This window comes from Homo sapiens, chromosome 1 (assembly GCF_000001405.40).
Source record: "Homo sapiens chromosome 1, GRCh38.p14 Primary Assembly".
Classification (NCBI taxonomy): domain Eukaryota; kingdom Metazoa; phylum Chordata; class Mammalia; order Primates; family Hominidae; genus Homo; species Homo sapiens.
In genome coordinates, this window is record NC_000001.11 from 230,328,261 (window position 1) to 230,355,632 (window position 27,372).

At 47.6% G+C, this 27,372-nt stretch overlaps 1 protein-coding gene across 1 annotated transcript in view, besides 4 other annotated features; it reads right to left on the bottom strand.

Annotated features, from left to right (window-relative positions):
* The window catches only part of PGBD5 (piggyBac transposable element derived 5), a 111,843-nt gene that overhangs the window by 13,771 nt on the left and 70,700 nt on the right, over positions 1-27,372 (bottom strand). The window contains exons 3-5 of the mRNA NM_001258311.2: positions 22,698-22,832; positions 8,848-9,028; positions 4,584-4,781 (exon numbers count right to left, since the gene is read on the bottom strand). Coding sequence (NP_001245240.1) covers positions 4,584-4,781; positions 8,848-9,028; positions 22,698-22,832 — 514 coding nt within the window. The remainder of the gene's footprint in view (positions 1-4,583; positions 4,782-8,847; positions 9,029-22,697; positions 22,833-27,372) is intronic.
* Positions 4,141-4,785: an enhancer, noted in NCBI's record as "H3K27ac-H3K4me1 hESC enhancer chr1:230468147-230468791 (GRCh37/hg19 assembly coordinates)". NCBI's record gives its function as "activates a minimal SCP1, AML or CMV promoter by ChIP-STARR-seq in naive H9 embryonic stem cells {active_cell/tissue: H9 hESC(naive)}" and the evidence as "EXISTENCE:reporter gene assay evidence [ECO:0000049][PMID:30033119]".
* Positions 4,141-5,430: a biological region, named in NCBI's record as "H3K27ac-H3K4me1 hESC enhancers GRCh37_chr1:230468147-230468791 and GRCh37_chr1:230468792-230469436".
* Positions 4,503-4,797: an enhancer, noted in NCBI's record as "tiled region #8330; HepG2 Activating non-DNase unmatched - State 22:ReprW, and K562 Activating DNase unmatched - State 4:PromP". NCBI's record gives its function as "activates a minimal TATA promoter and a strong SV40 promoter by Sharpr-MPRA in HepG2 and K562 cells {active_cell/tissue: HepG2 | K562}" and the evidence as "EXISTENCE:reporter gene assay evidence [ECO:0000049][PMID:27701403]".
* Positions 4,786-5,430: an enhancer, noted in NCBI's record as "H3K27ac-H3K4me1 hESC enhancer chr1:230468792-230469436 (GRCh37/hg19 assembly coordinates)". NCBI's record gives its function as "activates a minimal SCP1, AML or CMV promoter by ChIP-STARR-seq in naive H9 embryonic stem cells {active_cell/tissue: H9 hESC(naive)}" and the evidence as "EXISTENCE:reporter gene assay evidence [ECO:0000049][PMID:30033119]".

The window sequence follows — 27,372 nt, forward strand, 5'->3', positions numbered from 1 at the left end:
TTTCTTTCCCATTCTTTTTCATAATTTTAAATTTAACATGGGGGTTTCAGCTTGAAACTGAGCTGTTTCCACACCAGATCTGCATCCTCTCCTTGAGCATTTCCCCAGTTTATAAACCAGATCACCCTCCTCTCCCTATGATATTTTGGATTCTGAGGTAGTACCCCAGCTGAAAAAGGCAAGGCAGCTGTCCTGTGACATCTTCTGATTGCTAACATTGGCAATATTAGCAAGAGGGAATCTGATAGTGACTGTCTTGACTGAGTGAATCACTGAGAATGGCGTGTATGTCATGCACAGATTCGTGGTGGACGCTGTATTCAGAGCTATATGGATCTGCACACATGTCTATCTTCTCCATGTCTGTCTCTGTGATGTTCAAGATCGACATGGCCCTGTCTTCCCATTCTAACAGTTGTTCTGTCTTAGCACCTTCCTCGGCTGTTAGTGGCTTGACTGACATTCCTGCTACCTTTCTGCAAATTTAAGTGAATGAATCAAGACCTGACTCATATTCATATGCAGACATTCTGCCTTCCCATTAGTCTTAGTGAATGTGAATCCTAAATGGGCAGACTCCAGGAGGAAGATGACAGACCCAAGGTGGATTTCGAAAGAAAAGCAAAAGGGTTTGGTTCACAATGGGAATATCCCTTGACATGTGACAGCATTTAACATTTTTTTTTTTTCTTGAGACAGTCTCACTCTGTTGCTCAGACTGAAGTGCAGTGTCACGATCTTGGCTCACTGCAGCCTCTACCTCCTGGGCTCAAGTGATCCTCCTGCCTCAGTGCCCCACCAACCCCCACCCCCCAGTAGCTTGGACTACTACAGCTACGCCATGCCCAGCTAATTTTTTTTTGGGGGGGGAGGTGGTATTTTTTGCATAGATGGGGTCCTGCCATGTTGCTCAGACTGGTCTCAAACTCCTGGACTCAAGTGATCCTCCCAACTTGGCCTCCAAAAGTGCTGGGATTATGGGCATAAGCCATTGTGACTGGCCTGCATTTAACTTTTTAAAAAGCCTGTACATATGCTCATACTCTGTGACAAAAAGGTTCATGATTCCCTAGAATCTGGAGTAAAAAAAAATTAACCAATTCCTAAAATGTTCATACCTAGTTACATATTTCCTAAAATTGGAAATTCTGCTCAACTACAACCAGAGTATATATGGTCATAGTAGAACAGAATATAAGATAGAGCTGAGAAGTAGTCTCTAGAATATATGATGCTTCAGTTTATCATCTGATATATACATATATATTTGAGACAGAGTCTTGCTCTGTCGGCCAGGCTGGAGTGCAGTGGCACAATCTCGGCTCACTGCAACCTCTGTCTCCCAGGTTCAAGAGATTCTCCTGCCTCAGCCTCTTGAGTAGCTCAGATTATAGGCATGAGCCACCACACCTGGCCCTGAATGAGATTTAAAATAAATAGGAAAAGGATGAATTATTCAATAAATGGTTTAGGCACAGAGGTGCAGCTGCTGGGTCAACCCAGCCTGGCCACTAAACAACAACAAGATAGTAGAGGCCCACTTGATGCCATGCGTCAAAATAAATTTGAAGTGGATTATGGTAAAGAGCACAAAATTACACCATAAAACAGCCAGGTGAACTTATACTTATCTGGCCTTGGGACAGAGCAGAGACCTAAAGCATGAGAGCAGAGAAGGTATCAACAGATCCGCCTATGAAGAAATGAAAACTTTTTTTTATGTTAAATAATACTAATCACAAATAAAAACAAAAGGAAATGAAATACAGAAAACAATGTGCTATAGGCAGAAAACTTCCTTTCAAGTGAATGAGAACGTGACAAATATCTCAAAAGGAAAATTGTAAGGAACATAAAAAAAATCACTCGAAATTAGCCAATCAACACATGGAGAGATGTGCAACCTCTCCAGCAGTCAGAGTGATTGATATTTAAAATCTGGGGGCATCTTCACCTGTCAGAATGACAAATAAAAAAGTAGTGCCGGTAAAGCTGGAGGCATCTGTGCCCGCTGCGATGGTAGAGAAGTACAGCCTGCGGCAACCCATCACCAGAAACCTTGACATCGTCCCACCCTTTGACCCAGCACTTCCGCTTTTGGATTTACCCAGAGGAAATGATCAAAGATGTGCCCAAATGTTTATGTATGAAGACATCACTGTATCATTATTAACACTGAGAAAAAGTGGATCATTGATAAGGGCACTGGCTGAAGAAATTATGGCACATCCAAAGGGAAGGAATACTAGGTACAGAAGACGATCTCTCTTCATGCAAAAAAGAACTCTAAGATGTGAACCCCAAAACAGATTTCCTGGGGAGGAGCAGCTATGAACTTTACCTTCCCCCAGGCAATTTCCCACTCATTCCAGCTACACCCAGGTCTGTGCCCACCTGAAGCACCCACCTGAAGTGCTCACTGAGCAAGTGTGAACTTCCCTGGGAGTGCTTTCTAGAGGTACTGGGGAGGGGACCAGGGTCCCTGGAGTGGGGAGGGGGGCTACAGTGATGCTGTGGTCATTCCTTGGGATTTTTAAGGGACGCTAGGATTCTGAACTTTATGATGTAAAATAGAATACTTTGGATCCAGAAATTGTAAGTACATTAAACATGAACACTAAATTTCAACAGATTTAAAAATCAATTGCCCATCAATATCCTCCTTACATGCTCCTTTGGTGTCTGCTTTAAGAGCTCCAACCCTTAAAATTAGCCTTTTAACATTTGTCATCTTAAATCCTGGAGAGGATTTTGAACCTCTCCAGCCTCATTCTTTTCTCTTCATTATCTGCTTTCACTGAGCTCAGATGAATGTGATGTCCTGCCTTGAGATACCTTTTCAGAGGTCATCACTTAAAATAATTTGGTGGGGCTGGGCATGGTGGCTCATGCCTGTACACCCAGCACTTTGGGAGGCTGAGGCTAGAGGATCACTTGAGGCCAGGAGTTTGAGACCAGCCTGGGCAACATAGTGAGACCCTGTCTCACAAAAAATACAAAAAAACATTAGCCGGGCGCAGCGGTATGCACCTGTAGTCCAAGCTACTTGGGAGGCTGAGGTGGGAGATTTGTTTGTGCTCAGGAATTCAAGGCTGCAGTGAGCTATGATAGCACCACTGCACTCCAGCCTGGGCGACAGAGCAACACCCTGTCCCAAAAATAAATAAATAAACAAAATAATTTGGTAGGAAGCAGTTCCTGCCCCTGACTCTCAAACATGTTCCCTGGAAATTCCCTCGTCCTGCACCAAGACCCTCATCACTGGAGTCTGGAAGTTCAACCCAAACTCTAGCCTTCAGCTTGCAAGGCCAATTCCAAGCCTTTCTTTTCCTTCTTCATCTCCTTTCTTCTTCCTCTACTTCCTCTTCCTCTTTCTTCTTCGTTCTTCCTCCTCCTCCTTTTTTTTTTCTCTCTTGGTAGATGGGGATCTTTCTATGTTGCCCAGGCTGGTCTTGAACTCCTTGGCTCAAGCAATGTCCTGCCACAGCCCCTTGAGTAGCTGGGACTCCAGGTGGGTGCCACCAGGCCTGGCTCAAACCTTTCTTCAACTGATCCTAGACACAGCACTCAAGAGCACAGCTCCCTGCAATCCTCTACAACCAAATCGAGTATTGATGCCCATCTGCTGGGGTCCCTTGATCGCAATCTCCACTGAGGCGTGATGCAACTTAAGCTGGCGGGAGGTGAAGGATGGGAATAAACTAGCAACATACATTAAACATAGATGCACAGACTGTACCGCAGAAACATACACACCACACACACCACACACACACCACACACAGCACACACAACATGCCAGGCAAGCTTACACACCACACACACGTACATGTGAGAGCACAAATCTGCACACAAACACCTGGGCTCCTTAGCAGTGTTCCTTTACAAGTGAAGGGGAAAGAGGCCTTTGTTTTCTACCTCATTCGTCGTCATTTGTCTTGAGGAAAGCCTCCGTGTGAAGGCAGGGGAGGCTGCCCCCAAGCACAGCACAGCTGGGAACGCCTTTGCAAGGGCCCCTTTGTCCTTTCAGTGTTCTTTTCAGTGGTTTAGTGATGATTTCACTGTACGGTACTTTAAGTATAGGCTCCTTGCTAAGTAAGTCCCTTTGTTAAGAATGGATTTTAAATCCTGAGTAAAATCAATGAAGAAATCAGGGAACAGCGGATGAACCAGACAGCGCATATGCTTTACTTCTAAGGAAGACGTTGAAAGATAAGAATGGTGGATTTTTCCTTCCATCAGAACGGATTTTTCACAGAATCCCAGACGACAAAGTGAAATGCCATTCAAATGCAGCCATTATCATACCCCGTGGTGGCTTGAGCCACCTGCAAACCCCGTCAGCATGCACCGCTCAAAAGCTTACAACGAACAGGGAGCTCTTTCCTCGCTGCTTCCCCGCTGCTTCCACACAGCCGCCACACTTAGGAGCGTGGCCCCAGATGCTGGGGAATAACCGAGGGTAGTCTGACCCCAGAGCAGCACAGCCCACAGTGGACGCCACATCCACCGCAGCGGTGGGCTCGGCCAAGCTCAACCAATCCCCGCGCGCCCCACTGTGTCAATGGCGGACCCGCACTCACCCTGCTGCACCGGGGAGTAGGCGTTGGTCAGGAAGCGGAAGTGTCCTTTGTTGTACCAGCAGATCAAGGACATGTTCCCCTTCATCTTGATTTGGTACTGGCCCCGGGCCGGGGGTGTGGCTGGGTTGGTCAGCATGGACAGTGGGAGGCCGGTGCAGTCACTCTTCCGCGCGCGGAGCAAGCCGCAGCAGTAAATCCCTGAGGGGAGAGGGAGGAAGGATCGCACACTCACCACCATCGGAGATGCCGGCGGCTCCTCCGCCCTGGGCACCCCCAAGGAAAGGACGGGACTGCCCGGTTCTGAGGCTGATGCTTGGGAGTCAGACCCTCTAGAGACCCCTCTAGAAGAGACTGCTGAAGTTTTGAGGTCTCGTATCCCTCTGTTGTCTCTCCCCGTGACAATCTCCCCAGGTCCCTCCCTAAGAACATACAGTATGCTAAGACTGCATGTAGGGCTACAGCACAAGCAATGGATCGGCAGCAGCAGCAGGAGCTGTCACCTGGACCCTCACTTGGGTGTCCAGCACAGCACTACGCACGTGTACTCATCATCCCATCTACTTCAAGAAACTTCTGCACTCCATAGGTTATGGCATGCACATTAGAGAAGAAGAACTGAGACTCGAGAAGGGCGAAGCCCCCAGACTCACAGCTGGGAGGGCAAAGACAGGCATGAAGCCCAGGACTGTCCAGCATCCAAACCTGGCCACGGTTACATCATCCTAATGGTCTCACCAGGACGTGGCTGAACGCGAGCCCAGTGCTGAGCCAGTCCACACTGCACCCCAGGAAGCTGTCAGACGGAGCCCCCATCTCCTTGGGGAGCTATATTTGATGCGAAGGAAAGAATAATCCAAGAATGTGAACTAAACCAAGTGTCCTTCCATGAGTGGGTGGAGAGCTTCCTGAGGGAGAAGGAGCTTGAGCTCGGTCTTTCAGGCCTGGAAGACTGGCATGGGTGGCTGGTGGGCGGTAGAGACCAGTATGAACAAACACCCACCGCGGACTTGCTCACTTCCACTCTGGACTCAAGGCCTTTCAGGTCCTTCCACTTCATGGGCCTGCCCCACCCTGCTGGGACAGAAGGCCACAGGGGCCACAAGCACTCAGCTGCTCCCCAGCAGCCTGGAGGGGACGCAGAGACCCTGGGAGCAGTCTCAGCCTTTACTCTCTGCTCAGCTCCCGGAGGACCGACAGTGCCATCGGTCACCTGAACACATCCCATATCCCATGCATCTGCTTTCCTCATCCCCGCATCCCACCCTGCACTGGAAGAAGGACAGTTGAATGAATCTTTTCCTCTTCCGAATTCCTTTCCTTGTGGCAGGTGGGAAGGAAGATGCACCCGGAGGTGCTTTTGAGTCTCGCTGCTGAAAAGAGGAGGGAGCTGCTGCTCGCAGCTCCATTCCTAGCAACCGCACGTGACCACTCAAGCTACTCTCATCTAGAGATGTAAAAAGGAGAATCTGTTCTTAGAAACAGGGAGGAGGATGACATGAACCAGGGTAAGGATGTCCAAAATCACCCATCTGGGGCTCAATCTACACCACCAGCCAAAGAGAAGCTGCATGTTCGTAAGAGGGAAAGAACATTCCAGCAGCACTCAAGTTTCCATGAATCTATCCCTTTATAAACACAGAAATTATTCTAGGAATGTCCTTTCTGGCTTTTGACAATGGTCTGTGTGGCCCTAGGAGGGACAACCAGACTCTCAGCTCTGATTCTTCTCCTCAACCTTGGCTGCCTGAGAATCCCCCAGGGTGGGGGGACAGTGGCCCAGACCAATGCAATCTGTGTCCTGAGGAGGCACGGTGCAGCCACCAGTGACCCTCCCTGTGGACATGCTGGAGGACACTACCCTCAGTCACGGCAGAGGAGGTACATGATGACGCCCTGGGTGAAGAGCTCAGTTTAGATGCTTCTAAAAATAGGCAAGGAGATCTTTTTTATCTCTTACCTAACCTTCTCTTGAAAAAAATCCAAATTCCATATCTAAATATTTTCTTCCAGCTAGAAGATTCTTTTCCCATCCTCCTAATTCTCTGAGCCAAGAGGCATCCCCTCCTCAGAACCACAGGAGCAGCACACTCAGCTCTTTGGGAACCATATCGATGGCCCGGGATAGTCCTCTAGCATCCCCACTCCACCTACCTTATCTCCATGGCATCTACCCCACTCGACACAGACACACACACACAGGTACACACACAGACACAAACACAGATGCACACACAGACACACACAGGTACACACACAGACACACACAGATACACAGATACAGACACATACACATACATACACAGGTACACATACAGACACACACAGACACACAGACACACAGACTTACAGACACACACAGATATACAGACAGACACAGATACACATACAGACACAGACACACACACAGGTACACACACAGACACAAACACAGACGCACACACAGACACACACAGATACACAGATACAGACACATACACATACATACACAGGTACACATACAGACACACACAGACACACAGACACACAGACTTACAGACACACACAGATATACAGACAGACACAGATACACATACAGACACAGACACACACACAGGTACACACACAGACACAAACACAGACGCACACACAGACACACACAGATACACAGATACAGACACATACACATACATACACAGGTACACATACAGACACACACAGACACACAGACACACAGACTTACAGACACACACAGATATACAGACACACACAGATACACATACAGACACAGACACACACACAGGTACACACACAGACACAAACACAGACGCACAAACAGACACACACAGATACACAGATACAGACACACAGACACATACACATACATACACAGGTACACATACAGACACACACAGACTTACACAAAGACACACACAGATACACAGATACAGACAGACACACACACACACACAGGCACAAAGACACACAGACACATACACTGACACAGACATACACATACACACACAGACACACAGATACACACACAGATGCATACACGGACACACAGATGCATACACGGACATACAGACACAAAGACACAGACACAGACACACACAGACACACAAAGACACAGAGACACACATACACCCCTTCTACTTTCAGTCCAGGTTGATGGTGTGAGGCAGGGAACAGGCCCTGGAACACACATAAACATCACACTCGCAGTACCCACGCTCGGCCTTGTACGAGTGGGCAGGAGAGATGGCAGTCCCGGTTCTCACCCTGTGCTCGAACAGAGAACCCCCCATTCTTCCAAAGCAGCTGGGTACTGTGCTTCAGGGCCAATTTTCTCTTGCTTTACTTTCACAGCCCCACTTCATGTCGTCGAATCTCTCTACCCTTGATTCTTCCAACAAATAACTATTAAGCCCTGGGCTTTGAAGATGAGTAAGATGCAGCTGAGGCCAGCAAAAAGTGAAGTCCAGGGCTGCGGCCTCACTGCAGCTGCCAGGGCTCCAGGATGTCAGCTGTCTACACCTCATTACTTAAGAGGGTCTAGTTTTAAGGCCAGATGTCTGACTGCTGCTGAGCAAACGGTCTGCAATTCTAGTCTAGTGGCTGCTGCAGGGGAGCAGGCACTTTTTGTGCTGCTTCTGAGTGGACCAGATCTAAATCCCCAAAGCCAGGACAAAGCAAAGGCCAGGGCAGCTTGCCACAGGGCTCCCTGAACTGGTCCAGATCTTCTTTTTCTATAGCCCCTATTTCTTCCAAAGCCATAGAAGGCTTGCCCAGTCTTTGCCATGCATGCACCAAACACCTGAGCACCCGGAGTACCTAAGGCTTTTCTGAGGCTCATTGTACTGTTGTTCCCTGTCTTCACACAATTCTTGCCTGTCTCCTGGGAAGGGGCCACATTATAGATGATGGGTGAGTTCCAGAGACTTCCTAGAGCCTTACTAGAAGCTGTGTCCAGGGGACGCAGGCTTTTCATGGCTACAGATTTCCAACAGGGGACACACAAATGCCCCGAAGGCCAGGCAGAGCTTTGCGCCGACATGTCCTCTAGACCTTGAGCCCGTGGCTCACACACCTTGCAATCTCTAGTGCCCAGCGGGATCCAGCACACAGGGTGGCTGAGACGCATCTGTTCCCTCAAGGAAGGGCCTCATCACCTGGCATCCTGTGGTTTGTGGTGGCCACCACGTATCTGCACCCCCACCTGGACCTCTCCCACCACTTTCCCAGGGGAGGCTGGGCCGTATCCTCACTGGCTCCCCACTTGACTAACCTTGCTTCTCAAACTCTTCAAACAGCGTCAGGCTGGTGATGCTGGGCCCCGTGAAAATGATGTAGTTCTTGCCTGCCGCGTTCCGGCACAGGCTCCTGGCCACCATGCTGTGGAGCTGGGGCTTATTCTTCAGCGCATCCAGGCCATCTGGGCCCCCACCTTCCTTCAGGTGGACATAAATCTTTAACAGAAACACACAGAGGTTAGCGTGCTCACAGCAGTGTCAGGCTGGGAGCCCGAGTATTCAGCAAGCACAGATCTCATGGGTCTCAGTCATCCAGTTGGGAGCCCATGGAAAAGCCCCCATCATCTTTTCAGCTCACAGGGACTCTAGGTCACCCCCAAGCACACCCCGTGGCCTTGGCGATTGGTGACTCAGCCCCAGATGCTTCAGTTTGGAAAGGTCAAGGCAGAGGAGGAAAGGAACAAGCAGCCATGGGTAATGGGATGGTGCAAATACATTCCCCGGCTTTCAAACACAGGAATGATTTAAATTCACTATAAATAAAATTAAAGGCAACCTCACCTGTTAGGAATACACATTATCTGTGTACTTTCCATTTGAATACAGCTTCTTAATTTACAAGGTATGTTCATAATGACTGTTTAATTTGTTCTTTATAGTAACCCCCATCAGGCAGGCAGAAGAGGTATGATTCCCCTCACGGTGCAGAGGAGACAGGACTGAGGGCTAAACATTTGCCCAAGAGTCCAGGGCCAACAAAGAGGATGTGTGGGGACTCAGTCAGCAATTTTTAAACGTCGTTTCATGCTGCTTCCATGAACATCACCAAAGGGGTAGAGGCAGGAAAGTTAATGGATTGAAGAAGAGCATGTTCAAAAAAATCAACTGCCTCCAGTACAGGTGCAAGAAATGTGACTTAGCGAAAATATCTTAAACAAACAAAACACAACACAAAATGTGGTGTTGGACGACGGTAAGTCACTGCAAACCAGAACTGCTAGAGAAGTTCATAGATCTGAGCCTGCCACAGATTATTTCTACATTAACACATGCAGCTCGCATGTTGCCTGTGGTTTCTATGCAGACATCTACACTCAAATTTTTAAATGCTGTGTATTATGTTTTTTAAATTGCTGCAGCACAAATGACCACAAATTCAGTGGCTTCAACAGCATCCGTTTATGAGCTCATAGTTCTGTAGGCTGGAGGTCTGAGCAGGGCACGGCTGGCTTTTCTGCTTAGGGCAGCACAAGGCTGCAATCAAAATGTTGACTGGTGGGTTCTCATCTGGTGCTTGGGATCTGCATTCCCGTTGTTTCCTTACGGCTGCAGGACTGAGGTCCTGTGTCCCTGCTGGCTGTCAGCCAGGGACTGCGTTCAGCTCCTGGGGGCAACATGTAGTCCTTGCCACATGACCTCTTCCATTGTGAAAGCCGGCAATGATTGGCCAGGCACGGTGGCTCACGCCTGTAATCCCAGCACTTTGGGAGGCTGAGGTGAGTGATTACCTGAGGTCAGGAGTTCGAGACCAGCCTGACCAACATGGTGAAACCCCGTCTCTATTAAAAATGCAAAAAAGTAGCCAGGTGTGGTGGCAGATGCCTGTAATCCCAGCTACTTGGGAGGCTGAGGCAGGAGAATCGCTTGAACCCAGGAGGTGGAGGTTGCAGTGAGCTGAGATCGTGCCATTGCACTCCAGCCTAGGCGACAAGAGCGAAATTCCATCTCAAAAATAAATAAATAAATAAGAAAAGAAAAGAAAAAAAAGCCCGCAATGGGGCCTCTTCTTGAAGCTGCGTCCCTCTTGTGCTTTCTGTCAGGAAGAGCCCGGTTCCTTTTCTAGGGCTTTACTTGGGTAGGTTGGGCCCATGCGAGATAAGTTCTCTTTAACAGATTTAGGACCATAATACATTTGCAAAATCCAAATTCCTTCTCATCAACACCCACATTACTGTTTGAGCGAATAACGGGGAAGTGTGTGCACACCAGGGGCAGGAAGCCTGTATCTTTGAGTTCTAACACACATTGGGGCACACTGCTTCCACACCAGGCACTTCTATGCATCTGAAGAACTGCAACGTGATAGCTGAGAAATGGAGTGCTTCCCCACTTTATTTAATGCTTCCCCACCTTTTTTAAACCAGCGGAGTGAAGATGACGTCAGTTTTATTCCCTGGGAAACAGACTGATTCAATGTACTTTCCTGAAGACCAACAGTGAACAACACCTTCCCCGTCCAAACACTCAGTGTCAGTGAGGATGTAGGGAAATGAGCACTGTGCTGATTTGGTATAAATACGCATAAACTTTCCGGAGGGAAATTTTGCCCATGAATCAAAGACCTTAAAGTATGGCTGTTACGGCAAACAGTATGGAAGTTCCTCAAAAAAATTAAAAATAGAACAACCATAGGATCCAGTAATCTTACTTCTGAGTACACACCCAAAGGAACTGAAATCAGGATCTCTAAGAGATACCTGCACTCCCACGTTCACTGCTGCATTATTCACAATCGCCAAGATATGGAAACACAAGTGTCCATCAGTGGATAAGTGGATAAAGGAAATGTGGCATATACACAAGATGAAATACTATTCAGCCTTTAAAAAGGAGGAAGTCTTGCCATCTGCAACAACATGGACCTGGAGGACATTAAGCGAAGTGAAATAAGCCGAGCACAGGAAGAGAAACACTGTATGATCCCACTTGCATGTGAACTTCAAGTTGAACTAATAGGAGAGAGTGGAATGGTGGTTACGGGGCTGGGGGATGGAAGTGGGAGTGGGGAGGTATTGGTCAAAGAATTCAAAATCTGTTAGATAGGAGGAATAAGTTCAAGAGATCTATGGTACCACATGGTGACTAAAGTTAATAACAATATATTCTTGGAAATTGCCAAGACGGTCGATTTTAAGTGTTCTCACCACAAAAAATGATAACTATGTGATGTAATGCATATGTCAGTTGGCTCGATTTGGCCATTTCAGTGTCTACATATTTCAAAATATGTTGTACACAATAAAAATATACTATTTTTATTTGTCAATTAAAAAATAAATTTTGTAAAAACCTTAAAAATATTCATGCTATTTTACTCATGAGTTTCACTTTTAGGAATTCAATCCAAGGTAACAATCAGAAATGTGTTAAAAGGATTTATATATAAAATACCATGTCCATTTCAGGGTTTTTTATAATGGTAAAAAAATTAACAATGACCTAACTACCTTACATGAAGAGCAGACTGGTTAAAATTATATATGTAGGTATAATGGAATGTGATATACTTTAAAAAATCATCATGTAGAAAAAGTGTTTAATAACATAGAAAATGTTCACAATATCCTTGTAAGTAGCCAGATTATAAAACAGTGCAAGTGTGTGTATATGTGTGTGTTTATAAATATATGTTGACTATACACTCAAGCGGCTATTTCTGTATAAAAAGTATTTATCAGAATGACAGATATGCTGGGCTTTTAATGTTTTTGATGCTAAATATGTAATACAACTTAATCAGAAAACAACCCACTAAAAATAATTATAAAATAACTTCCTTATCAGGATTACCCAAGCATAAGACTATTTGGAATTTGCAGTATCTTTGGGTCTGAGTGAACGGTTATTCATCATCTCCATGCCTGGAGATGACGATGACTCTGAGAATCAGGGTAGCCTCTTGCTGTCTTGGAATTAACACATTTTCCCAAAAGCCAGTGATGTGCAGCTGAGATTTTACAATCCCTGGGTAGAATACGGAAGGCAGTCCTGCCGCAGGACTGCCTTGAAATTACTCAGCCTCGTGTCCACACATGCACCTCTGAAAACTGCCATTTTTCCAGACTCCAGCCAGCCTCTTCTGAAGAAGTGGACGCTCAACTGGGATGTCACAGGAGAAGGGGACAGGCACTGAGCTAAAGGCACTGAGCCAGAGGAGACAGGCACTGAGCCGAAGGTCAAAGATTTCTTATTAGGAAATCTGGAAGAAGGATGCAGCCAAGAAGTGGCACCAATGAGAGTCCAAAGAGAGTCCCAAATGTGTGGCACTCATTGCTATAAAATAATGAGTTTCTAAAAGTGAATATAAAATAGGACCTTCATTTAAATAAATACAAAAAAGAGGTAACCTTGAAAGTCTCAGTTGAGGGCATGATTTAGGAAAAACTGTTGGCAAGGCAGTCAAAATCTGGCCAGGAAAAGGCCCAGTCTAAGAGGTACTGCTTGGTCTGATGGCCAGGCAGGTCCGGTACCTGACTGGTCCTGGTTTGCTTTGACAGAATAACGTCAGTGGTCAAAGGTAGTAACTTGTTTCCCTTAGCTGGATGAGCAACCTCCAGTGAAGTCTTATCCTATCCATGCTCTGTTGCTACAAATGCTTAAGCTATACAAGCTATGCTAATGATCTCGTCCAGGTTTAAAAGACAATCCTAAGGAATCCTGCCAGTAATCTGAGAAACAGCAGAATCACTGGGAACCCACACATGTATTCAGACACTGGGTTGGGTACTTTCTACAAGAGCTCCCCAGACACGACACGGAAGGAAATACCATTCACTTAGATGTGTGACTACTTCCTGGTCTGCTTTTCAAAAAGTCAGATATCTCCCTAGACATATCTAGAGAAAGCACTATCATACTAATATGGTTCCACCAACGTGTGTAGACATAGGTGACTTCCTATCACTGGGCAAAATGCAGCCAGTTATAGACACTTCTGAGCTACAAGACTGCTTGACAAGTATCTCTAGAGCAGGAAAATGTACCATTTGGTGGTTGCCAAGCTTTTCACTTTTCCTAAAAAGTTTTTTTGCTCCTATGATTTTTAAATATATATATATTTAAGAAAGTAGGCATGCAAGTTTATTACTATATGGCATTATACTTTGCCCCAGGGTATTATTCCTAATGTTGCATATTTTATACTGACATTACAACAAAAAGGATCTTAGGAATTATGGATTATAGCAGTTAATACCCTGGGGGACACATACAGCACATGGGATTTATCTTAGCTCTCCTGAAATGCCCCCACGACCTCCAGAGACAGGATCTAGTTCATCTTTTCCCTCAACTTCTCAAAAGAACAGTAAGGCTAGTGGCAGTAGCTGCTGACTCACCAGCTGATAGTTCCACTAAGCTGTTGCTGGGATCCGGGCACCCTCCTGCCTCTCTAACACAAAGAACTGGAGAAAGCCCAGTTCAGCTATACTGGTCTTGACCAATGAATGACCCTACTTCTTTTTCAGCACAGAAGAGAATCAATTTTCTCAGTGAAGAGCATATTTGGGGGAAGGGTATCACATCGTAGGGACTGGTGATCCTTTGCTTGAGTCTTATCTCTAGTGTGCAAGGAGCTATGAAGGTGAAAGTAATTCAGCTGTGGAAACAGCACAGCAGTGCACGATCTGCACTCACTGAAGACGCAGAATGAGATCACGGGGTGTGTGCGGCTGTCACCTGGGACATCTGCATGGGACAGCCACTTGAGAGAGTTGTGAATTGTAAATGACAGTCACTTGTCATGAGAGGAACTGAGGCAGGGAGGGTGAGTGCCAGGATACATGGGCACGGGCTCTGTCATTCACTGGCTTGTGGGTTTGGGGGCAAGTTACTTAATTGCTCTGAGCCTTGCTTTCCTTATCTGTAAGGATAACGTTGCCATATGCACCTTGCAAGGCCCTTGTCTTTAAGTGAAAATTGTGCACATAGAAGTGATTTTTTAATATAGCAAAGCTCTGTAACTGTGCTCCCAATGTGGTTGCCTTCAGCCACATATGGCTGTTTTCATTTACATTTAAATTAACTAAAATGAAAAATTCAGGCCCGCAGCCACACTGGTCACAATGCAAATAGTCAACAGTCACATGAGGCTAGGAACTGCCATCATGGAGAGCAGATATGAAACATTTCCATCATTGCAGAGAGTCCTGCTGGACAATGCTGCTTGTGTCATCTTTGTGTATTAGCTGGGGCTTCTAGCAAAGTCTCTAAGCCATCACCATACTGATGACTTTCATCTCTCATTGCCCAGTTTCTCTCTCAGGCCTCTCACCATGACCATGCCCAGGAAGAGCTCATGTGCTGAGTCTGTTCTTGGTCCTTCTCCTCTCTGGCTGCACCTTCAGCACCGCTGACCCCTGTGGGAGCCTTGCCTTCATCTCATCCCAAAGCTCAAAGCCTGAGGTGGTTCTTTCAAAATGACAGGTTGGAGGAGGGACATGTATCAGCATGTGGGCTCTCTGTACACACTCATGTCTGTGCAGTTGAAGAGTCGAAGTTCTTTAGGGAGAGGGTTGAATCTGATCCACACAGTAGCTGGTGCACTTACCTGGGCACTTAATAAATACTTTATTGTCATCTTTGAAGTCCTATACGGTAAAGAGGTGTGGGTGGATTAACTTCATTCAAAAGTGGAGAAAGAAGGTAGTTCTCAGCTACTTGCTCAAGGACACAAAGAGGTCCACGGTTATGTCTTCTGCCTCAGCCAATCCCATCCTCAACTTACCGTGTCCAACCTGGACAGGATCTCATGCCAGCATCCTCCTCACTGCACGATTAAACAGCTGGACACATGTCCTGCCCTGCCCAGCTTCTGAATCCACAAGCAAAATTCACTCCAGCCAATTAATTCCATAGTGGTCCTCACTTTTAGAGCCAATTCAATTAGTTATAGGTCAAGAGCAAAATATTTCACTTAGTATGTAAAAAGACTGAGTCAAATAAGGAAAAAAACACTTTAGTGCACCTTCTTTAAATTCTTTCAACATAAATAGTATGTCTCAAAATAAGGGAAATTAGTGACGTGGATGCTAGACCACTGTCCTACCAACAATCAAGCTGGATAAAAGATACTTGGCTTTTTGTCTAAATCGGGAAAAGTTCTCTCCTTGGAGGAGTCAACATAGCCTAGTGGTTAAGAAGGTGGGATCCAGGCTGGGCACAGTGGCTCACACCTGTAATCCCAGCACTTTGAGAGGCCGAGGCGGGCAGACCACGAGGTCAGGAGATGCAGACCATCCTGGCTAACACAGTGAAACCCCTTCTCTACTAAAAATACAAAAATTTAGCCGGGCGTGGTGGCGGGCACCTGTAGTCCCAGCTACTCGGGAGGCTGAGGCAGGAGAATGGTGTGAACCCAGGAGGTGGAGCTTGCAGTGAGCCGAGATCACGCCACTACACTCCAGCCTGGGCAACAGAGGGAGACTCCGTCTCCAAAAAAAAAAAAGAAGGTGAGATCTAGAGTCAGAATGGCTGGGTTTAATCCCAGGTCTACTGCTTTGTAGATCTAATTTTAGGCAAGGCAGCAAATCTCTCTGTGCCTCAGTTTCCTTACCAAGAAACAGTGGCGGTGACATTACTTGCCTCTTAAGGCCCTTGTGGAGAAAAAATGAATCCTGCATGTGAAGTGCTTAAGCACAGAGCCTGGCCCACAACACACACTCTGTAAGTGTTCGTCATTCTTTCCTGAACGCCAGAAGCAGCTGCCAGAATCCACAGATGAGACTGAGGGAGGGAAGGGGCTTCCAGGTCAGCTAGCTTAGCAGCACAGGGCACACGGACCTCATTCAGAGTGTCCCTCACAGATGTCATGAGGGCTCTGCCTGGACAGATTCCATGATGTGTGCAGGGGGTAGGAAGCACGGGTTCTTTTGCTTGGGGGTTACCATCTTGAATTCTGGCTTCTAATGCCCATCTACTTCCGGAGTATGTCAATGCCCAGCGTGAACCTGAAGCCCTGCCTCCACTGAGCAGGGCTGTCATCCAGAATTGCCTCCTTGACATGACAGCCACCCAGCCCTCTGAAGACGGTCTGTCCTGTCTTCTTTAGATGACACCTCCCTATGTCTCTCCAAGCCCCACTCAGGATGCCACTCAGGACACCTCCCAGGCATCTGCTCCTCAGCCCCTCCTCAGTGTTCATCCATCTGTCAACATCCCTTGCTGGGAACGTTGGTCTCATGCTGCAGAGGCAGGTGCCTGGCCCAACGTGTTCAAACAGGAGAAATCTGCTCTTTTAGACTATACCATTCAAAAAAATTAGTGGACCTTTTTTTTCTCCTCCAAAGAATCTTGGGGTTCCATTAATCACTAAAGGTCGATGAACATTAACCTGTTGGCCAATTTTTCCCGCTGGAGCCTCGATCTTTTTGACATTGTGGAGCCTGAACAGCAATCTCTGCAGAGAACTGCTTCAGAGTTTTCTTTCCACCCACATAGAGGGCACAGGCTTCCAGGATGAGCAGCCTCAGCGTCTTGGATTGAGGAACTCCAATCGCTCAATTAGGTGGCTTTCCCCTACACTGGAAGAGTCATCATCTGTATAAATCTCTCCTTTTTCTCCTCCTTGGCTCACAGGGGAGCCTGCAGATGAGGGGAGAGGAGGGGAAACCTGGCTAGCTCCCATGCTCACAAGCCCTCTGCAAACAGGGTAGGGCTGGAGGGTATTCTGGGGTCTAGGTTAGTCCTTAGCAGGCCTGTGACACAGAATAAATACAGACAGTCTCCAATTTACACTGGTTTGACTTATGATTTTTGACTTCATGATCATGTGAAAGCAACAGGCATTCAGTAGAAATTTCTTCAAATGTTGACCTTTTCCTTGGCTAGTGATATGCTGTGCAATGCTGGGTGGTGGCAGTGAGCTGCAGCTCCCAGTCAGCCAGGCGATCACGAGGGTAAACAACCATGAAATATTCAACACTTTATTATAAAAGAGGCTTTGTGTTAATTTTGCCCAGCTGCAGGCTAATGTAAGTGTTCCAGGCATGTTTAAAGTAAACTAGGCTAAACTATGCTCTTTGGTAGGTTAGGTGTATTAAATGCATTTTTTTTAGAGGCAGGGTCTCACTATGTTGTACAGGCTGGTCTCAAACTCCTGGACTCAAGTGGTCTCCGTCCTCAGCCTCCCACATTGCTGGTACTACAGGAACTCGCCACTGCACCCAGCTTTAAATGCATTTTTGACTTAAGATATTTTCTTTTTTTTTGAGACAGGGTCTCGCTCTGACACCCAGGCTGGAGTGAAGTGGTGCAATCTTGGCTGACTGTAGCCTTGATCTCCCAGGCTCAAGGGAACCTTCCCGCCTCAGCCACCCAAGTAGCTGGGTCTACAGATGTGTGCGACCACACTCAGCTATTTCATATTTTTTGTGGAGACAGGGTTTTGCCATGTTGCCCAGGCTGGTCTTGAATTCCTGGGCTCAAGTGATCTGCCTACCTTGGCCTCCCAAAGTGCTGGGATTACAGGTGTGAGCCACTGTGCTTAACCTGACAAGGTATTTTCAATTTACTAGGGGTTTATCACAGGGACGTAACCCCATTATAAGTCGAGGAGCTTCTGCATGCTGTCTTAAGTGCACCATCGTATCTAGCAGTGGGTAACTAGCAGTGGAACCCGACCAGCCTGGGTAAATAGCAGTGGGAAAGCCAAATAAGAAGGCATTGGCTGTGGCCTCATCTATACCCAGCATTCTGCACCTAAGGAGCAAGCATATCGCAAGATTTCCTGAGCCCTACCTTATAAATAATTCCCTGCCTGCCTACTTTTGTCTTAAGTGCTGCTATTAAAACATTGGGTGTCTTGGTGCTTGGCCTGTGGCAAGAGCTCATGGCTACTCTCTTCTTTGCCACACCACATACCCTACTGTATATGACTCTGGGGGTGTTTCTTACCCCTACAGGTGCCTTCCTGTAGTCCTGCGACGTACAGACACACCTCCGGTATTGCACTTGTCACGCTATGTCGATGAATATTTTTAACGTGTCCATCTCTCCTACTGGAGAGGCAGTGAGGGCTCCCTCTATCTCTAGTTCTGAGGGGCCAAGCATGAAGCTCACTCTATGGTGGTGTGGTTAACCAAACAGTCCATGCCTAGATTTGCATTGGTGCAGGTCTTATCTTCCCAACTCTTTATTGTAAAACTTCTTGAAAACAGGGACCTGTCCAACTCTTACCAATAAATAAATAAATAAAATAAAAATAAATAAGTATTCTTAGGCTCTAGAAAAGAACACTGAAGAAAGCATTGCCCCAGCCCTCTAGTTCAGACTCCCAGGTGGTCAACAGCAGTGAGAATCAGAGAAGCAAACAGGCCTGAATAAACCAGGTGGGCCAGAGGAAGCCCCCTGTAGTAGCCAGGATTCTCCCGAGACACAGAAGCACGAGTGTGTGTATATAAACACAATTATCTATGGAAGATGGGAGAGTGGGAGAGTGGGAGGAAGAGGCAGAGGTATTTATTTTAAGGAACTGGCTCATGCAAATTACAGAGGCTGGCAAGTCCAACATCAGAGAAGCCCAGCAGGCTGGGCGCCCAGGGACAAGCTGCTGCTAAAGCCCAAAGGCCTTCTGCTGGCAGAATTCCCTTTTTCTCGGGGCACAGCAATCATTTTCATTTTCTTTTCTTTTTTTTTTTTTTTTTTTTGAGATGGATTTTCACTCTTGTTGCCCAGGCTGGAGTGCAGTGGTGCGATCTTGGCTCACTGCAACCTCCGCCTCCCAGGTTCAAGCAATTCTCCTGCCTCAGCCTCCCAAGTATCTGGGATTACAGGCATGCGCCACCATGCCTGGCTAATTTTTTTTGTACAAAGCTGGGGCAACAATGTCTATGCATAATTTGGGCTCTCCTGGAACACACCTGGACCCCCACCATCCCTTCAACACCTTATCTTGGTCCACAGTAGATAGTGGCTGGAAGAAAGTTACCTGGTCAGCTGTGCAGACCTAACTGATAGGCTCCTGGGTCAATTACAGTGGGTCTCAAACAGCTACAAAATCGATGTGCCATATAATAAACATTTACTAAGCTCCCAGGTTTTCAGGACCCAGGTGATCCATCCTGGTCATTTTCTCATGGCCAGGGCAGAGAAGCCAAAAAAGGAGAGGTATGCACTTGCCCCTTCAAATCTTTTCACATACCACAGCTGCCTACATCCTACGGGCCAAAGCCAGCCTCAGAAACAGGAGGGCGTGGGGCAGATGCTACGCTAACGAGCGGCACAGCACAATGGGAGAGGACCCTTAATACGGTCAGCTGCAACTGAGCTTCCCCGCTAAGTCATTCAGGAGAGCTCAATGCATCTGAGGAACTACAATGAAGAAAATGTCCTGTGTACAGAACCCTACATATGACATTTACAAAGAAGAGAGTCATACACTGGCAGTAGAAGGGACCTCACTGGTTACCTAATCCCATCTTTAATTTCTAGATCACAACTCCATATTCCAGAGCAATGACTGAGCAGCTAGTTCACGTGGGAGGTAAATGCAAGAGCAGGGGCTGCCTATGCCTTGGGGATGGACGAGGGAAGAGGCAGGTTGAGGCCCAGGGGAGAAGCCAGCTCTGTGCTGACCAGCTGTCTGGCAGGTAACCCCTGTGAGCCAAAGCCACCTCATGTAAGAAATGGGATCAACACGGCCTGCTCTCTATGTCTTACAAGGCTGTGGGGAGGATCAGGGAACTGCAGTGTGAAAGCTCTGACGGTGTAAGGTATTATTCTGCCCCAGGGCTGTGCTTGCCCAGGCTGCTGACCTTCAAAAGCTGTCAAACCAAGATTAGCACCTGGAGAACCAAGAAAAGGGGCAGGACTCTAAAAAAACAACTGTCCCCGGGTCATGTGGCTCCTCTACGTCTCCTGGCCCCTCACAGGCAGAGATGTCCTTTCCCTGCGCTGTGCCTGCCACAGGCACCTTCAGTTGGACCTAGGAACAAAGAGAGGGACTGCGGGGGCTGAGAAAGTTCTCATGCCAGTCCTGTCACGGCACAGCCTGAAACTGAAGGGTAATTAATTGCCTCCTTGGCTCTGCACCTCTGAGCACATTTTGAGGGCTGCCCCTGGCAATGGTGGAAGCTACGCTGCTTTTGACTGGGAGTTGTCAGCTTCAATTCTGGCTTCTAAAAACAAACTTTCACGCTGCTGCAAAACCTCCTAGAATCAAGAGTTTTAGAAATGAAAGGAAACTTCAAGGTACCAACCCAAACTTCTTATAGATGTGGATTTTACAGATTTTATAAATTTGGGAACGAATCTGAACTGAGAGAGAGAGATCTGTGGCCTTGGCCTTGCCTGGTGACAGATGTGATTTCTAGCTCCTCACTAACTGTAGAGGGAGAAGGGAGTGGTGCCAGATGCACACAGGATCCGCATGTAAACATTTATTCCAAAGCTACACAGGGCCGGTATGGTGGCTCTTGACTGTAATCTCAGCATTTTGGGAGGCCGAGGCGGGATGATCACTTGAGCCCAGGAGTTCAAGATCAGCCTGGGCAACACAGTGAGACTCCATCTCTACCAAAATGAAAATAAAAATAAATTAGCCAGGAATGGTGTCACATGTCCATGATCCCAGCTACTTGAGAGGCTGAGGTGACCAGATCACTTGAGCCTGGGAAGTTGAGGGTGAAGTAAACTATGATCATGCTGCTTTACTTCAGCCTGGGTGACAGAGTCAGACCCCGTCTCAAAAAAAAAAAAAAAAAAAAAAGCTACCTAGGCAGATCTCAAGGATGGCAGGACCACGTTTGCATATCCCAATGCCTGGCACAATTGTGTGCAGGTAGCAGGTGCTCAATAAATATTTACTGAAAGAATAAATGAATGTCCCTTGGGAAAGTTTACATAAAATGAACCCGACGCACCTGTACCTATGGGAGTATCATCACAAAAGGCACTATAGAGATGGCAGAGGACTCTGGAGAATGTGAGGGGACAAGGAGCTGAGGCTGCACCTCCAGGAGTGAGGGAATTCTGCTCTGGGATAGGTCCAGTCTGGCAAGACCCCAAACAATGCCTATGCACAAGCAGAGCCCCAGAGTCTGGCTGGAGATCCTGACCCCAACTCAACCTGAAGGTCCCTCAGACCTGCAGAAGGAGCCGAGATGGTGCTTTGGAGGGAAGACATTTTCCCGGAGCAAGCGCACTTTCCCCACTGTGGTTCTGGAGTGGATGTGGGGAGGAGATGTTCGGCAGAATCTTCCTACGAATCCTGCTGTAGTTCAGGGAAAGATGGAAGTGCAAAAACCCTGTGCCTTGGGGCCTGGAGATGCGGTCAAGCGAGGGCAGCAAGTGAGCGTGCGGTCAGCAGTCACCACAGGGCTGGCCTGCCTGTCTGATGAGAGAAGGTGTCGCTGCGCAGCACGCATGAAAAACTAGACTAGGCAGGGAGACGTCACTTAGGAGCCACATTCTGGTGTGTATCTGTCCCCACCATCTCCCTTTGTGTACCCTACTGCTCCTGGCAGCTCAACCTCAGATGCTTTTCCTGGGAGTATCATCACAAAAAGCAGAGCTCAGGCACCTCTTGTGAAACATGCACCCATGTTGGCCATGCTGGCTCCAAGGTCCTATGACTCGGGCACGTGCTCCTGCTGAAGGTTATTCATAATTTCACCAGCAGGCTGTTGGTGGAGGTCTGTGAAGAAGGCATCCTGGAAACAGGAAGGTTGGGCAGATACCTGGTGGGAGTGGGGAGGCCTTCTGGGACAGCCTTAAGTTTCAAAGCCACAAGTCCAAAAGTCTTGAGGGACAGCCTCCAGGGAGATGGTAGAAACCTCGTATGACCCACTGTTTGGGTGACACTTCCAGCCAACATTGCTACGGCCTGAGCCTTGATGAGTCATTTACCCAGATGGGCTTGAGTCTGGAGGAAGAATGTGCAGGGAACGGGGCCAGGGGTGGCAGCAGCCTCTCCAGGGCTGGCTACCCGCTGCCTCGGTGAGGAGGGAGCAGCCCAGCCCTGGCCTCCGCAGGAGCATCTGGGTGGACTTGGACCCACAGTGAAAAGGGTATGTGAACAAGTTCTTGGGTATCAGATGAGCCCAAGTCGCCCGGATTTTCTTCCCCGACCCTCTTCACCGACCCTCCCCGGGCTCAGCCCAGGGCTCACCTGGATGATGAAGCCAGTGGAAGAACATTGTCTGACCCAGAGGCTGAATTTCCGCTTTTTCCTCTTTCGCAGCTCCCGCTCTGTGCACGTGGCAATGAATACAGGATCCTCATCGATCAGGGGTTCATGTAGCACCTGCCAGGAGGGAAAAAGCAGAGGCTCTCACGGAAGGCAGCATGAGCTTGAGGGCTCATCAGATTGGAGCTCAAATTCAGCCTCTGCATTTGAGCAGCTCTGTGACCTTAACTAAGTTACTTTACCTCTCTGATCCTGACCCTTCTTATCTATAGGAGGGTGGTATCATTATCTATACTACTGTTTCCAGAAAGGATGCAGTAAGAAAGGATTCAACATGCAAAATAGCACCGGCCCTGATACACAGTAGATATTTCATCAATGGAATTTATTATTATTGTTATTATTGGCCTAAGGTCCCTTGTCCCAACTCTCACTTGGTTGAGGGATCTCTGGCATGGGTCCTGTGTCCTCTGGCTGGACATGCCTGGTGATGGGCACCCACTTCTTTTCATGGAAGCCCCTTCCACTCATGGAAAGTTCCAACTGCTAAAAAAGTCTTTCACTGATCCACAATTTACCTATATTTAACTGAAACCTAGGGATGTGACTTCTGTCCAGTGAGAAACAAAGAAAAAAAATGCTATTTTTTTTGGATTTTCAAGACAGCCCTCGTGTCAGCCCACGACCTCCTTCTTCCAGGCTGAACCTCCTCTTTTTATAAATCATTCATCAAATGACCCAGTTCCCTGTTGGCCTGTTGCAACACACAGCCTCTGGTTCTCCTCTAGGTTGTCATGACCTTTCTGACAAGATTCCCAAGGCAATTTTGAAACTAATTTCATCTATTTCAACTTTTTGATAACATGATTATATGACTTTTCCCAATGATAAGACAATAAAGAAAAAAGAGATGGCATAATAAAAATAGGCTCCAAGGAGTGGCCACAGATCTGCTTCTTCAAGGTAAAGCTCTTTCGGGAGGCTTTAGGATAAACTTCAGGAACGTGCTACACTTCCCTCCCTGATCCTATCTCAAGCTTAATTATGAATTAGATTGTGCATCTGTAGGGAACTGAAATGAAGAGTGCAGGCAATGATTCCCAGAACTCTACACGATGCCCTAGATCGGGGTCAGCAAATTACTGCCTAGTCTGGCCCACGTCTGTTTTTGTAAATAAAGTTTTATTGGAACACTGCCATGCTCACTCATTTAAATATTGTCTGTGGTTGCTTTGGGGCTACAATATCAGAACTGACAACACGCAACAGTGACCACACCGATACAAAGTCTAAATACTTACCATCTGGCTATTTACAGAAAAAGTTTGAACAAATCAGTCACCTGAGGATCCTGCTAAAATGTGGATTGTGATTCTGTGAGGCCGGGTCTGAGACTGTGCATTCCCAACAAGCTCCCAGGTGATGGCAGAAAAAGGTCTTCCAAGGACAGAAGGGAGGATGATACTTACCATGTGTGATGTGGACAGCTGCCTTCCATTCTTCTAGGAATGGAAGGTGGGCTGAGGTTGAATGCAAATTGAATGCAAGGTTACCGTGCATTCAATTTTCGAAAAGTGACAGCCCTGCACTGTTCAGTCTTAGCAGTGCATATCTGCCTCCTCAGTTTTTCTACTAATGGACACATGGGGACATCACATGTGGTCTCCCCTGTCTTGTGAAGGGGAAGGCTGGGAGGCTGGCCTAGCTGCAACGTCTCCCCTGGCCCTCACGCCTGGCTTCTTGCACTCGCTGGCTCTTTGTAGCTCATAAAACATTCAAAGCCCCATTTGGAACTATTCAAGTGCAATGAACAAGTCCCCCACACAGTGGGAGAATGGGAGGGGATGGAGAAGGGAAAAGATGGCATAAAAAAGCCCTCTGCCTGTCCTTTCCCTGCCCAATGATCCTTGCCGAAGACGTGCATCCTACTCTGTCCTCTGAGGCCACAGCAAATGAAAATTGCCCTCTCTCATTCTCTTCAGAAAGAAAGTGCACCTCTATTCCACTTGCATTGAACATATGATCAGTTGCAAATTTATATTTAATCACATGCCTTATCAAAGCAAAAGGGCCAGCAAGAATTTCTGACCCTCAATGATCTTTTTCCTTTTCTATCATCATTAAATGAATTATGAATATGTCATTACTAAATGCAGCACGGAACAGCATGCTCCCCAAAGCTCCAAAAACTTTGCCTGCCAGAAAAACCACTTGCTTCTCCTCCAGGCTACACATGGGTCAGCATTTCTCTGTTACATGACTGTATCTCCTGAGCCTCCTCCTGTGCTTGATGAGCTCGTTTTGAGGTGTGGAGGGTGGTAGGTATGGTAGGGGAAAGACAAAACATCCATTTATTGATTTGCACAATCCCTCCCCGAAAATATTTCTCTAATTAATCTGGCTCCAGTTTTGAGGAGATGCAGTATCTCCCCATTTTGTATTTGTGTAGAAACACACACACACACCCCAGCTGCTTTGGTCATTGCTACATTCTGGGAATCCTCTGAAGACTCTAAGACCAAACTCGTACCAAAGGGTCACAGCTGCTGGAATAAAACGGCTCCCAAGATTGCAGGCTGGAGGGTGCGAGTGAGCTGAGTGTGTGAGGTGAGTGTGCTGTGTGTTTGGAGTGCAGCCCTGAAGGATGGTGTAAGGGACGGGTGCAGAGTGATTCCTGGGAATCTGCAGCTAATCCATCCACACACACACCTGATGAGGGCAATGGGAAGAGAACTGTTCCAACTGGTGTCTGCAGGCAGAGACAATGACCCTCCAAGAAAGCCCTGAGGCTTACAAGCAAATCATTGCCTCTCTGTGAGCTGAATGTTCCAGGGTCCAACAGGGATTTTCACAGAGCCGGAAAGCTGCGAATCCAAGGCTCCTTTAGAGCCTCCAGCTTCTCCAATCAAGCATCAGGAGAAGAACTCTCTTCCTTCTTTAAGTGGCAGATGCGTCTCTGAGAAGAGCATAAATGCAGGAGCCGAGCAGGGCGGGCCGATGCTGGCAACCCAGGGAACAGCAAGGCCTGCAAGCCCCTGGGAGAGCCAGGCCCACCCCAACTGGAAAGCCCGGGGCATCCTCAGCAGATGGGGCAGGCTGCTGCTCCAGGGAATGGAGGGGCACAGGTGACATACAGGAAGCCCCAGGAAGCATGAGGTTCTGGTCATAGTAAACACCCAACCGTACTCTGTGGTTATGACTTCATCTCCTTTGACTTACCTTGCTCTACACCTACTGACACGGAGCTGGTGCAACAGGCTGCGTGGCACCAGTCAGACCCTTTGACTCTCCTGGAGCCACATGCCCCAGGCTGTATGATGGAGTGTGCTGGGTGTTCTCTGTTTGCCCCCCAGGGTCACTTTCCACCCTGCAGACCCTGAGCTGAGGCCTGGAGGTCAGCTTCTTATAAATTACCCCACCCAGCTTCTCTGCCCCTAGTTTCTGGCTTGTTCAGCCAAGTGGGAGTCATCAGCAAGAGGCCAGAGAGCAAGGGAGTCAGGGGAGGGACCTATGATCAGCCCCTTAAACTTATTTCGAACTTATTTCATGTATTCAATTTTTTGATAACATGATTATATAACTTTTACCAATGATAAGACAATAAAGAAAAAAGAAATGGCATCATAAAAATAGGCTCCAAGGAGTGGCCATAGATCTGCTTCTTCAAGGTAAAGCTCTGCCCACCTGCCCTGAGGCCTCTCCCTGGGCTACAGCCTTCTCTGCTCCCTTCGGGTCTCCCTTAACCCGGATCACACCCCTAGCCAACAGTCCCTGCATCAACATCTCTTCGGCTGCCCTGCTAGATGGAGCTCAGCATCTGTGTCCTGCTGGGATCCTCACTACCACGTAGGGGCACCGAGTAGAAAACGTAGCAAGAAGAAAATGTAATTTCCCAAATACAGTAAAATAAAAATGAAATACAAAGTAATGGAAGGAGAGAAGAATGAGCTGGAGGAGAGAGAGGAGGAAGAGGTGGAAAAGTGAAGGCAAAAGTAAAGGGGAAAAAGCCCCAAACATGACCTGAGAGCCCTTCCCCAGATTGAGCCTCATCTCAGGCCCTGCTTCTGCAAGCCTCATCACCTGGAAGCAAATACAAGTGAGCCGCAGAATAACACGATCATCCTTCTAGGCTCTCCCTGTTCCTGGTACCCCGGTACTGCCCATCTGAGCCATGTGCTAAGGAGGCAGAGTTGCTCCCTTGGACACCTGCCTACTTGCCCACCTGCAGTCCAGCCACTGCCCACCCAGCCAGGCTCAGCAATGCTGCTGGGCCTCCCCTCAGGACACCTGTACCTGGGAGCTGCAGAGAGGTGAGCCCACAAGTCTCAGAATTCCTAGTAGGCGCTGCAGTGTGCCAGAGAGGCCAGGCACTCACCCTGGACTTACACTGCAGATACCTCTTGAGAGATACTTAGGCACAGCGAGCACACAGCCTTCTGCGGCACCTCTCCAAATGTTTGACCCCAGCATGGTCTGAATGTGCTGTTTATTTTTCCCTTGCATCCAGGCAATCGTCTCTCATTTGCTTCATTTTCAACCAAGCAAGTATTTAGTGAAAGAAAAGACAATGTGCTCAGGCCCGTCCTTGGTACCACAGGGCCTGTTACAGGGCAGAGCTCATGTCCTCGAAAGTCTCCACTTCTTGTTAGGAAGGTAA